Here is a 13,150-nt window from a genome sequence, read left to right as displayed (position 1 = left end):
CTGAGCAGAGACAAAGCGTGGCAGTGGAAGGCCTCTCTAGACCAGGTTTCTCAACCTCAGTGCTACTGACATTTTAGATCAAATAATTCTTTGTTATGGGGAGTTCTTTTGTCCATTGTAGAATGTTTAGCAGCACCTTTGGCCTCTACCTCTAGAAGAGCACCTGCCCTTCCTTCGTTGTGACAACTAAAATTATGTCCAGACATGGCCAAAGTTCTCTTGGGGGGCAAAATTGCTCCTTGTTGAGAACTACTACCCTAACCCAACTTGCCTGCCAAGGCCAGGTGTATGAGGCCAGGTGTATGAAAGAGGCCATTCTAAACCATCCAGCCCCAGCCAAGACAGTCCAGACAGGAAAAGTGTGCAGCTTGACCCATGGAATCAAAAGAAATAATAAATATTTGTCATTTTAAGTCACTCAGTTTGGGTGGTTTGTTCCACAGCACAAATACATAGACCTGACTACAGTGGTTTAAATAGATAGGGATTTCTTTGTCCTATACAACAGGAAGTACAGAGGTAGGCAGTTCATTCATGGTTCAGAGCTCAGTGATTCTCAGAGAAGGCTCACCCAGGCCTTCTTGTCCCTCCACTCCACTATCCTTTGGCCTGCTGCTGGTGTCTGCTGATCCCCAAGGTGGCTGCTCCAGCTTCTGGTCTGAGCTCCAGGAGTGAGAAAGGAGACAAGACAAAGGTACCAAGGGTGAATGCTTTCACCTAGAGAAGCTGGAAGGGAAGCCCTCCACAGGAGCTTTTCCTTATATGTCATTAGCCAGATTGGTCCAACATGGCCCGTCCTAGCTGCAAGGGAGGCGGGAAAATCATGGTGATTAGCTTTGAGCCTATATGGTAGAGGAAAGTGATGGCTGAGCAATGACTAAGTAGACTTAGTATCTGCTGAGCAGCTGCAGTATCTGCTGCACTGCCTCTGTGGGTTTTTTATCTCTCCTTGTTGCATATTTATTCCAGCCTCCTTTTTTCTGAAGACTGGCTTTGTTTCCCTGAACACAAGTGGGGAAATGTCTGCTTTAGCCCTGGAACTGCATCAAGATTCTCAGCTCTATATTTGGGGATATGGTACAGTCTAATACCAGGTTCTTTATTAGGTTTTTGAACATTTCTGAGATTTTCTAGTGTATTTGTAAAGTCAAGTTACACTCTCCTTTCTTACTGACTTTATTTTTTTTTTGAGACAAGGTGTTGCTCTGTTGCCCAGGCTGGAATGCAGTGGTACAGTCATAGCTCACTGCAGCCTCAACCTCCTGGGCTCAAGCGATCCTCCCAGCACAGCCTCCCAAATAGTGGTGACTACTGGCACACACCACCATGCCAGCTAATTTTTAAGTTTCTTGTAGAGACAGGGTCTCACTGTGTTGTCCAGGCTGATCTGGAACTCCTAGGCTCAAGCAATCCTCCTGCCTCAGCCTCTCAAAGTGTTAGGATTACAGATGTGAGCCACCATGCCTGGCCTCTCACTGGCTTTAGGTCCTAACCATGTGTAAGATGTGCCTCCAATGGAATATCACACAAAGAGTTTGTCCTACTTCCCCCAGGTTTAATGGGTTTAAAGAATATATTTGGTTTTAAAATATAAAAAAAATTTTATTGTGGCTTTTTAAAAATAAAAAAAGTAGGCTGGCCGCGGTAGCTCATGCCTGTAATCCCATCACTTTGGGACGCCAAGGTGGGTGGATCACCTGAGGTCAGGAGTTCTAGACCAGTCTGGCCAACATGGTGAAACCCCATCTCTACTAAAAATACAAAAAATTAGCCGGGTATGGTGGCAGGTGCCTGTAATCCCAGCTACTTAGGAGGCTGAGGCTGAAGAATGGCTTGAACCTGGGAGGCGGAGGTTGCAGTGAGCAGAGATCGCGCCATTGCACTCCAGCCTGGGCGACCAGAGTGAAACTCTGTCTCAAAAAAAAAAAAAAGTATTCATGATTTCTGGCTCTTCCATTTTTTTTTTTTTTGGCTGCCTGGCCACACAAGAATGGCAGTGAGGGCACGGATAGATGGAGAGAAGGCAGAACTTGGAAGGAGCAGAGAGTGCAGCAAGGAAAATGGGGGTCTCTCCAAACACCGTGGAACAGGAGTGTGTGTACCTAGGCAGTGTGTGCTCTTTGGTGACTGGGGACTTGGTCTGTCCTTGTGGCCTGGGACTGTAACAACTAGGCCATCTGGTGTATCCGAATGGACAGTATGAGATGGAATTAGAAACCTGGGTTCAAGACTCAACTCTTGAGTTGACTAGCTGTGTGATTTTAGGCAGGCCATGTAAGTTCTCAGGGCCTTGGCTTCCTCATCTGTCAAATGGGGAATCTAATACTATTTACCTCCCAGGGGCAGGGGGAGGATTAAATGAGATGTGTTTTGAAAATTGTAGAGTGCTATACAGACGTTAGTCATTATTATGGAAGCAATAAAACTGATTGGTGTTCTAAATTTATTACAATAAACAGATTTTTTTTTTTTTTTTTTGAGATGGAGTCTTGCTCTGTCACTCAGGCTAGAGTGCAGTTGTGTGATCTTGGCTCCCTGCAATCATCACCTCCCGGGTTGAAGTGATTCTCCTGTCTCAGCCTCCCGAGTAGCTGGGATTACAGGCCCAGCCATTTTTTTTTTTTTTTAAAGACAGAGTCTCACTCTGTTAGGCTGGCGTGCAATGGCGTGGTCTTGGCTCACTGCAACCTCTGCCTCCTAGGTTCAAGTGATTCTCCCACCTCAGCCTCCTGTGTAGCTGGGACTACAGGCATGTGCCACCACACCTGGCTAATTTTTGTATTTTTAGTAGAGACAGGTATTCACTATGTTTGCCAGGCTGGTCTCAAACTCCTGATCTTATAATCCGCCTGCCTCGGCCTCCCAAAGTGCTGAGATTACAGGCATGAGCCATCCTGCCAGGCCATAACGGAGACTTGAATTCACTATCCCAAGGCCCTGAGAGCTCCAAGGTTACAATTCTGCCCTGAGGCTCCAGTACAAGTCTTAGGTTTTCTCAAGTGTGAGTCTGTTGGAAGTCTTAGGAGGTTTGATATTTGGGAACATCATGACCCAACGTGGACCACATAATTATATCTACCAGGCCTGGACATCTGGGTTACACACTTCTATTCTTCATATACCTGAGTTCGTGTACATTCATAGGTATTTTTAAAGAAGAACCCTTCTCCCCACAGTCTCCAAAATATAATATTGTTCAAAATACTGGTCTAGGAAATGAAACACTAGGGTAACAATCTTTAAAGACTTACAAAAGCAACTCAGTATTTTGACACAGATGACACAGAAGAGTCACATGAACTCACAGAGGATCACATGAGGCCTGGTGGGACGAGGTTTCTCTAGTACTTTCCACTGGGCTTAGAATGCAAAAGGCTCTGGCTGGACTTGCTGGAGGTCTCTTTCCTCAGCATCTCTCTTTCTTGGTCCATCTTTAGGGAGGCTTTTCTGGTTCCAACCTTTAACAAGCAAGAGAAAAAACACACAAACTCCATTGCAGCAAGACTCCAATTGTTCCACTCAAGTGGTTTTGTTATTTTTTATTTTATTTAATTTTTTTTTTTTGAGACGGAGTCTCGCTCTATCGCCCAGGCTGGAGTGCAGTGGTGTGATCTCGGCTCACTGCAAGCTCCGCCTCCTGGGTTCATGCCATTCTCCTGCCTCAGCCTCCCGAGTAGCTGGGACTACAGGCGCCCGCCACCACGCCCAGCTAATTTTTTTTTTTTTTTTTTTTTAGTAGAGACGGGGTTTCACCGTGTTAGCCAGGATGGTCTTGATCTCCTGACCTCGTGATCCGCCCGTCTTGGCCTCCCAAAGTGCTGAGATTACAGGCTTGAGCCACCGCACCCAGCCTTATTTAATTATTTTTAACATGAGGAGAACTAGACACTTCCCATGTATTTTATTGTATTGTACTTATTTATTTACTTATTATTATTATTTTTTGAGACAGAGTCTTGTTCTGTGGCCCAGGCTGGAGTGCAGTGGCATGATCTCTGCTCACTGCAACCTCGACCTCACGGATTCAAGTGATTCTCCTGCCTCAGCCTCCCAAGCAGCTGGGACTACAGGCACATGCCGCCACACCCGGCTAATTTTTGTATTTTTAGTAGAGATGGGGGTTTCACCATGTTGGTCAAGTTGGTCTGGAACTCCTGACCTCAAGTGATCTGCCTGCCTTGGCCTCCCACGGTGCTAGGATTACAGGCATAAGCCACCACACCCGGCTGGTTTTGTTATTTTTTTGTACACAAAATAAAATATTTGTTGTAAAAAATATATATATACACACACAGATATGAGCACAAAAGAGATAAAATGATTCATCATTATCACGTTACTCAAAGATGAGCTTTAGTGAGGTTTTGGGGTGCACCCTTCCAGGTATACAGATATTGCTTTCCTTTTCTCTATTTTTTCTTTTTTTTTTTCTTGATATGGGGTCTCACTCTGTTGCCCAGGCTGGAGTGCTGTGGAGCAATCCCCGCTCACTGCAGCCTCGACCTCCTCAGGCTCAGGTGATCCTCCAACCTCAGCCTCCCGAGTAAGCTGGGACTATAGGTGTGCACCACTATGCCCAACTAATTATTTTATTTTATTTTACTTTTTGTAGAGATGAGGTTTTGCCATGTTGCCCAGGCTGGTCTCGAGTTCCTGGGCTCAAGTGATCTGCTCTCCTTGGCCTCCCAAAGTGCTGGGATTACAGGTGTGAGCCACCAAGCCTGGTCCCTTTACATATTTTTTAGTTTGAAACCAGGAGGTTCTTACAGTAACACATTCATTGTGATGGTGTTTCTCCTGAAAGGCTGTTACTGACTTGAATGTGTCTAAAGTCTCTGATGGCTTAGAACTGGGTGTCCAAACTTTTGGCTTCCCTGGGCCACACTGGAAGAAGAATAGTCTTGGGCCACACGTAAAATACATTAACACTAATGGTAGCTGATGAGCTAAAAAAAAAATTATCCCATAATGTTTTAAGAAAGTTTACGAATTTGTGTTGGGCTGCATTTAAAGCTGTCCTGGGCTGCGGGTTGGACAAGCTTGGCTTAGAAGGAGAAAGTGAAGTATATTTAAGGGGGTCTGTTTAACCCCTTGAGCACTTCCCAGCTCAAAGGAGGGGGCGTCCTGGCAGCCGTGTGCATGACCCCACTCCCGGGCCATATTTGTTGGACACTTGGCACAGCTGGGCTTTTCCGATGCCCACTCCTAGGAGTCGGGGTAATGGGCTGTGAGATGCCACTCGCTCCCTGGGCTGGCCCTTTGAACTGGGGGACTGTGAGGCTGTCCCTTCTTGTCATACCACTGGAGAGAGAAGAAATCAGCAGAGGTATGGAGAGGGGCAGAAATGACATGGAGACGTGTGTGTGCCCGAGTGCATGCATGCACGAGAGAGACGATGCCTGGGCTATCCTCCTAGTTCTCTCCCGTAGCTTTTTTTTTTTTTTTTTGAGATGGAGTCTTGCTCTGTCGCCCAGGCTGGACTGCAGTGGCGTGATCTCTGCTCACCTCCGCCTCCCGGGTTCACGCCATTCTCCTGCCTCAGCCTCCCGAGTACCTGGGACAACAGGTGCCCGCCAGCATGCCCGGCTAATTTTTTTGTATTTTTTGTAGAGATGGGGTTTCACCATGTTAGCCAGGATGGTCTCAAACTCCTGACCTCATGATCCGCCCATCTCGGCCTCCCAAAGTGCTGGGATTACAGGCGTGAGCCACCGCACCCAGCCTTTCCCATAGGTTTTATGAGGCATTCATTTCTGTATCTTTATAAAAGCCCCCCGCCCTGCCCCTTTTCTGAGTAGATTTTTGTTAACTGCAACCCAAGATCTCTCTCGCAAACAATTCTGGACACACTGTGGATAATACTGTGGCTTGCAAGTTTCTTTCCAACAGGATTTACCTTGCCAACTCTGTTCCTGCAAAGCTTTGCCCCCAGCCTTCAGGCTGCACATACACCTGGGGCAAGAGGGCTGGGTGGCTAGTCGCGTTTCAGCTCTGCCACTCACTACATGACCCTCAGTTTCCTCATCTGCCAAATAGGGATGAATATCGATCCTGCCTTCCTCAGAGGGCACAGAGGAGATTCTGGGAAGATTTCAATGGAAGAGTCTGTTAGGACCATCACTTAAGCTCTTTTCACCTTAAGATGGATTTAAAAATCACCTCCTGAGGCCTGTGACAGTGGCTGACAGGAGCCTCAAACGTGTTTTGAGACTCTGCATTCAAGATTGTTTCAGGGCAAGAAAGGGTAAGTCAGTCCCATACCAGCCCACAAAGTAAATATTGGTCCAAATGCGCAGGGAAAAAGAAAACAGACAGCAAACTCAAAAGCCTTCCCCCCTAAACAACCCTTACTTTATATTCCTTTTCATTTGATTTTCAATAAAATTGCTGACTGTGGATGGTTTCCAAATGCCAGTGCCCTGAGCCGGTGTGGAGTTGGCTGTCAGAGTTGGAGCCAGGGAGTTTGTTAAAGAGTCCCAGGTCCCCAGGTCTCCAGCCCCAGGGCTGCCAGAAGCATGGGATGGGAAGCACCACGGAAGGGGCTTTGTTCTCTTTATGAAATGACAAAGGATGGGGCAGCAGAAGGCAGCCAGGACCGCTGACCTGGGAATGGGGAATGTGAAATGCACAGATTCCACTTGAGATATTTGGAACCACGTGCCTCACCCTTAGAATGAAAAGGCAGGGGTAGAAGCCGGTCATTTAAATAGCCACACCCAGGTGTGAATGAACTCAGGCCATCCTGGGGTGTCTGCTTCAGGAAACTGCAAGCCTCGGCTCTAGGAAGCCCCCTGCCCACTCCCACACAACCTCAGGTCTAAGTTTAAATATACGGTCCTCAGGAAGGCCTCTCCTGGAGCTTGGACTGGGAGTGAAGACGTCCCTGTGAAATATGCTCAGCTCAGTTCAGGGGCCTTTGTCCTCCAAACACTGGGCTCAAAGTTATTATTTAATCATTATGTGTATTTACTTAAAAAAAAAAAAAGAGGCCAGGGGCAGTGGCTCATGTCTAAAATCCCAGCACTTTGGGAGGCTGAGGTGGGAGGATCACTTGAGCCTGGGAAGTGGAGGTTGCAGTGAACTGAGATGGTGCCACTGCACTACAGCCTGGACCACAGAGCAAGACACGGTCTCCAAAAAAAAAAAAGCCCAAGACTGTAAGCCAGGCAGGCAGGCAGGGATCTTTATGTCTTCATTAGTCTAACTCTGTGTTTCTCAGCCTTTCTTTCACTATCAACCTCGCCCCCTGAGAATTCTTAGAGGTTTTTTCCCCAGCCCCTCACCCTTTTACAGATAGCAGTGTGTGTGTGTGTGTGTGTGTGTGCGTGTGTGTGTGTGTCCACATCTATGTAGATATGGCTATTGCTTTATACATAGAAAGAATGAATTTTTGGCCAGGCGCGGTGGCTCATGCCTGTAATCCCTCCACCTTGGAAGGGTGGACCTGAGGTCAGGAGTTCCAGACTACCCAGGCCAATATAGTGAAACCCCGTCTCTACTAAAAATACAAAAGTTAGCTGGGCGTGGTGGTGCATACCTGTAGTCCCAGCTACTCGGGAGGCTGAGGCAGGAGAATCGCTTGAACCTGGGAGGTGGAGGTTGCAGTGAGCCGAAATTGCACCACTGCACTCTAGCCTGGGCAATAGAGCAAGACTCTGTCTCAAAAAAAAAAAAAAAAAAAAGGAATGAATTTTTGCCCCCTCGGGGGTGATGCTGCCCCCACTGAGGATGCATCATCCAACCTTAACACCTGGACAGCCCTGCCACGTTGCTGACTCTTAATATCTGTTGTGCGAATGAGGGCCAGGGCAGTCTCTCTTTTTGTTCGCCCTTCTCTCCCCAGTGCTTAGCACGGTAGGTGGCCTAGCCTAGGTCCTCAGTAAGTACTTGTTAACTGGAAGATTTTCCTTTATAGCATATAGCCCACGAACAAAAGACTGTTGGCCAAAATGGAAAAAAAAATCAGTGAATGGTATTTTGGAGGACAGAAAACAAAAACCCGTAGGGCCTTGAAAAGAAAGGCACAAATCCAGTTCTGAAGCTTGTTAGGGATGGACACTTTTTTTATGAGCAAGCAAGCCTGAAAGAGTAGATTTTCCACGTCGCATCTTCCTCAGGGTGGTCATGATGACTCCATCACCTTAAGGACTCGAAGCACACTATAGAGGACGGAGACCCCAAGCTATGTATTTCAAGGAACCTGGAGGAAACTTTTTTTTTTTTCGAGACGGAGTCTCGCTGTGTCCCCAGGCTGGAGTGCAGTGGCGCAATCTCGGCTCACTGCAAGCTCCGCCTCCCAGGTTCACACCATTCTCCTGTCTCAGCCTCCCGAGTAGCTGGGACTACAGGCGCCCGCCACCATGCCCAGCTAATTTTTTGTATTTTTAGTAAAGACGGGGTTTCACCGTGTTAGCCAGGATGGTCTCGATCTCCTGACCTCGTGATCCGCCCGCCTTGGCCTCCCAAAGTGCTGGGATTACAGGCGTGAGCCACCACGCCTGGCCTGGAGGAAACCTTTTTGCACCAAGGAGGTCCAAGCCATCAATCCCTTTGCCTCTTGCATCAGAGAAAAATGGATTTTTTTTCTCAAGCTGTGGCTGGAGGGCTGGATAAATGGGAAGATCACTCTGTTCTTAGGCGAAGCACCATCTGCCCCCATTCTGTTAAGCCTGAAATTCCAGGGAGCTTCACATCTAAGAGCACCACAATATCCCTACATCCAGGGCCCATCCCAATGTCAACACTGTCATTTTACATCTCCATGTCATTCTCAGCCAATAACTGGCAGCAGGGCAGTGTCTGCCTGCTCCAGTCTCTCCAAGTGTGTGGATGAGTAAGCAACAGGCCTCCCCTTCATTCCCACTTTGCAGGTGGCAAAAGTCTCAGGTCTAGGGGGACCCTGGGGACACTCTCTACCCTCCTAACACCCAGAGCAGCAGCAGCCACCTTCTGTCCTAGGACAATGGTGTCAGTTAAGAAGAGGCTTCTATTTTCCAAAAATGTCCCTTGCATAGAATATCTTCAGTTTTTCCAATGACAATTTTGTTGTCTCAGAATAACTGTGGCCTTTTATCAAACTTGTTAAATAAGCCTTTCTTATTCAACAAAAATGTGTTTTGCTTTCAAGCTTCCTGATAGCTTGCCTCTACTTTCTGCAAAGCAGGAGTGTGGATTGGATCAATTCCAGTTCCAGGGCTGATTTGTGAATGGCAATGATTCAACATGTTTAAGATTTTATAGACTTGATTAAAAAAGAGTGTTCAGCCAGGCGCGGTGGCTCACTCCTGTAATCCCAGTGCTTTGGGAGGCCGAGGCAGGCAGATTACAAGGTCAGAAGATCGAGACTATCCTGGCTAACACAGTGAAACCACAGAACTAGCCACTGCACTCCAGCCTGGGCAACAGAGTGAGATTCCGTCTCAAGCAAAACAAAACAAAACAAAACAAAACAACAAAAAAAGAGAATTCTAAAGGATGCTCTTTCTGCTCACCTGGGAATTTGAGTTCTGCATCCTGTTCTTCACCATCTCTACAAATACTCGTCTCTTCAATACAGAAAGAATAAGAACAAAATCTAGCTTAGATTCCTCTTTGCCTTTTGCATCAAAGAAAAATGGATTTTTCTCCACTTTTAGATGCTAACCATTTGGAACGCTGGGCCTTCCCAGGGACAGCATTCCAAACAGGTAGCATCTGAAAATTGAGAAAAATCCATTTTCTCAACGAGAAGGGGGCACAGCTTTTGGGAGCCACAGTGCCCCATCTTGCTGAGTCTCTTGGGGGTCTCTGTTCTAGATTCCAGCAGAGGTGGAGGCTGCTCAACCCAGGGCCTGTGAGGAACAATGCTCTTCTCGGAGGACACGTCTGTTTTAGCTCGAGGCAGCGCCTCCCAGAGCAAGTGGAAGGGGCTGCAGATGCCCGGTGGTTCACACCTCGGTATCCCAATGGCTCAGGGATGGTGGGGCCCATGATGGTTGAACTCCCTTTAGGGGCCTGTTTGAATGTCATCGTCACCCAGAATCTGAAGCTTGCTATTTCCCTGGGGTTTGGTTTACAGTTGCTGACCCTGGGGTCCCCAAGATGTGGCACCTCAGCAACAGTTCCCTGAAGAAAGAGCAGCCCCAGATACTGGGGACACCTCAGGGAGGGAGGGAGCTGGGCCCCCCTCTCAGAGATCCCCAACCTTCCATGGGGGTCACCAACCTCATGCCTACAGGGGCCAGGAAGTCAAAGAAGGCGGTGAGATGGAGATGGCAGCAAACCCAGGGGCCGGGGTCCTTTCTAAGGGGCTGGAAGCTGGTGGCGTGTGGGACTGTGGGCCTAGTGTCACCAGCAGATCCAAGTTTCCCAAAGAAGCCAGAAATCTGGAGTATTCTCTTAAAGTGCCTTTTTTTTTTTTTTTTTTTTTTTGAGACAGAGTCTTACTCTGTCACCCAGGCTGGAGTGCAGTGGTGCGATCTCGGCTCACTGCAACCTTTGCCTCCCAGGTTCAAGCAATTCTCCTGCCTCAGCCTCCCGATAGCTTGGATTACAGGCGCCTGCCACCACACCCGGCTAATTTTTGTATTTTTAGTAGCGATGAGGTTTCACCATGTTGGCCAGGCTGGTCTGGAACTCCTGACCTCAAGTGATCAGCCTGCCTCGTCCTCCCAAAGTGCTGGAATTACAGGCGTGAGCCACCATGCCCTGCCAAAAGCACCTTATTCTGAAATGGACCAAATGAGGCATAGCCGTGGGCTGCTATTTTGTGACGTCTGCCTCAGGGCCGCCCTGCCTGGCATCTAGCTGGTGCTCAGTGGATTGCTGGTGGGTTGCCAGATAAAATACAGGATACCCAGTTACATTTGAATTTCAGAATGAAAACAAATACTTTGTTTTAAGTATAACTATGTCCCATGCAATATTTGGAACATACTTAACACTAAATCACTATTTGTTATTTATCTGAAATTCAAATGTAACTGGGTATCTTGTTTTATTTTTTTCCTTTAAATCTGGCAACCCCATTTGGCATTCCCCAGACCCACGGGGACAGTGAGTCAGGCTGTCTTTTAGGATAGGGGCATAGGTGCTCGTAAGTCTCCACTGTTCTCCCAAAGCAACAGTCTGCGAAGAATCGTGGCCTGTATTTAGCTGACAGTTGCCCTCTAGAAGGCCTGGAGCCTGCAGCCACTAAACATTTATCACAAAGTTAGTGAGAGGAACAAATTCAGCAGAGAGCCATCATTTCAGGTATTGTCAAGCAATGGTTTTAAACCTCTCTTCCCTCCTTTCTCTTCCAGCAGGTTTTTTTTTTTTTTTTTTTTTGAGACAGGTTCTTCCTCTGTTGCTCAGGCTAGAGTTTAGCGGGATGCTTATGTGGCTCATCGCAACCTTGAAGTCCTGGGCTCAAGAGATTGTCCCACCTCAGCCTCCTGAGTAGCTGGGACTACAGGTGCACGCCACCATGGCTGGCTAATTTTTTGTGCTTTTGTAGAGCCAGGGTTTTGCCATGTTGCCCAGGCTGGTCTTGAACTCCTGGGTTGAAGCCATCCGGCTGTCTTGGCCTCCCCAAATTCTGGGATTACAGGCGTACCAGTAGGATTCTTTACCCACACAAAATCCTTTGAGGAACTTGGTATGTAAAACATCTGCTCTGGTGGAAACAAGATGTGAGGATGTTGGGACTCATACCCTTCCACGGGGCACAAGGGCTCCAGGAATCCCAGGTGGAACACTGCTCCACAATCCATCCCTGGATTAAGTCTGCTCAGTGGACACCTGAGCACTGGAGAGCAGAGCCCAGCCCCGTACAGATCTGCTTTACTGAACTTTACTGGATTCAGTGGGATGTGATGACATCGATCTGTCTCAAGAGCTGTTCTCAGCCACGGCTCAGCCCATGTCACCCCACGAAGGCTGTTCTTAAAGATGCTGCTCTTTACGTCACACACCGTCCCCTCTAGGGGGAAAGTCCAGCAAGGTCTTTGTTCTAAGAGCACTTACGAGCATCCATCCATTGTATCTCATGGACACTGTGAACTGTGACCAAGTTGGTTTCCCATTTCTCGTTGGCTGCCAGGAAGGTCGGAGTAAAACAGGGCTCCCCTTGGCGGGGGTAGAAGTGCTTATGCGAGGCACTTTCATCCTCATTCCTGGCTCTGTTTTGTAGCCACTCCCACCTTCTTTCACCCCCCTCATTTCATTCTTAGGACAGGGATTCCTGAAGCTCCTCACTCCTCCCTTCTTTCTTCTCTTAGGACCTTGCCTCCAAGTCCCCAAGTTACTTAGTGGCCTAGGATGGCTGCTCCATGAGCTGAAGCTGTGCTGGAATATCCCCTCTGCCTTCTCACCTTAATGGACAGACGGGGCTGGACGCGTGCTTGTCTCTTAGGTCATCCGTTCAAACTGCAGGCAGGTGGGGCAGGGCCTGGGGAGGGGAGGGAGGGAGGTGGGGCAGGGCCTGGGGAGGGAAGGGAAGGAGGGAGGGAGGGACGAGGGGCAGAGGCTGGGGAGGGAAGGGAAGGAGGGAGGTGTGCAGTGCTCCTTGGGCAGCGCGTGCAGGCATTTGCATGCCATGAGCTCTTACCCCCAGTTGAGACTGTCTCTACTCTGTGTCTGCAACATCAGAACACCTCCCATACCTGCCTGTCTTTCTCTTTGAAGGCACAGTTGCAAGGTGTCGATTCTTTTGCGTTTCTCAGTTCGTGCTCCTCTACACTTTCCTGAGTGAAAAGTATCAGGTTAGCAAGAGAGTGCTAACCTTAGTGTGTCCTTACCCGTTCCAATCTGGGACAGGCCTCTGAGGTTTCTAGGAGACGCTGGGACTCACTGAGATAGGTGGGCAGAAGATAAGGGATCACTGCGGGAGAGTCTTTTTCTTTTTTATTCGAGACAGGATCTCACTCTGTCACACAGGCTGGAGTGCAGTGGCACGACGATGGCTCACTGTAGCCTCGACCTCTCAGGCTCAAGCGGTCCTCCCACCTCAGCCTCCCAAGTAGCTGCGACTACGGGCGTGTGCCACCACACCCAGCTAATTTTTTTAATTTTTAGTAGAGACGGGTTTTTGCCATATTGCCAGGCTGGTCACCAACTCATGGGCTCAAGCCATCCTCCTACATCACCCTCCCAAAGTGCTGGGATTACAGGTGTGAGTCACCACACCCAG

At 48.3% G+C, this 13,150-nt stretch overlaps 1 protein-coding gene across 35 annotated transcripts in view, besides 1 other annotated feature; it reads right to left on the bottom strand.

The window, feature by feature from the left end:
* FHAD1 (forkhead associated phosphopeptide binding domain 1) overlaps positions 1-13,150 on the bottom strand; it is a 166,490-nt gene that overhangs the window by 2,256 nt on the left and 151,084 nt on the right. For 13 of the 35 annotated variants that reach the window (XM_017000198.3, XM_017000201.2, XM_011540581.4 and 10 more), the window contains 4 exons: positions 12,624-12,704; positions 9,492-9,545; positions 3,306-3,458; positions 472-801 (listed from right to left, as the gene is read on the bottom strand). In XM_017000198.3, coding sequence (XP_016855687.1) covers positions 3,361-3,458; positions 9,492-9,545; positions 12,624-12,704 — 233 coding nt within the window. In that variant the 3' untranslated portion in view covers positions 472-801; positions 3,306-3,360. Of the gene's footprint in view, positions 1-471; positions 802-2,426; positions 3,459-9,491; positions 9,546-12,332; positions 12,410-12,623; positions 12,705-13,150 lie in introns of those variants that run through there. The other 22 variants (XM_024452903.2, XM_024452912.2, XM_011540588.4 and 19 more) reach the window with 9 other exon arrangements.
* Positions 3,521-3,688: a silencer, noted in NCBI's record as "fragment chr1:15723563-15723730 (GRCh37/hg19 assembly coordinates)". NCBI's record gives its function as "represses an EF-1alpha promoter that drives an FKBP-Casp9 reporter gene in an ReSE screen in K562 erythroleukemia cells {active_cell/tissue: K562}" and the evidence as "EXISTENCE:reporter gene assay evidence [ECO:0000049][PMID:32094911]".

This window comes from Homo sapiens, chromosome 1 (genome assembly GCF_000001405.40).
Source record: "Homo sapiens chromosome 1, GRCh38.p14 Primary Assembly".
Classification (NCBI taxonomy): domain Eukaryota; kingdom Metazoa; phylum Chordata; class Mammalia; order Primates; family Hominidae; genus Homo; species Homo sapiens.
Note: the sequence above shows the minus strand (reverse complement) of the source record. Positions and strands in the feature narration are given on the sequence as shown.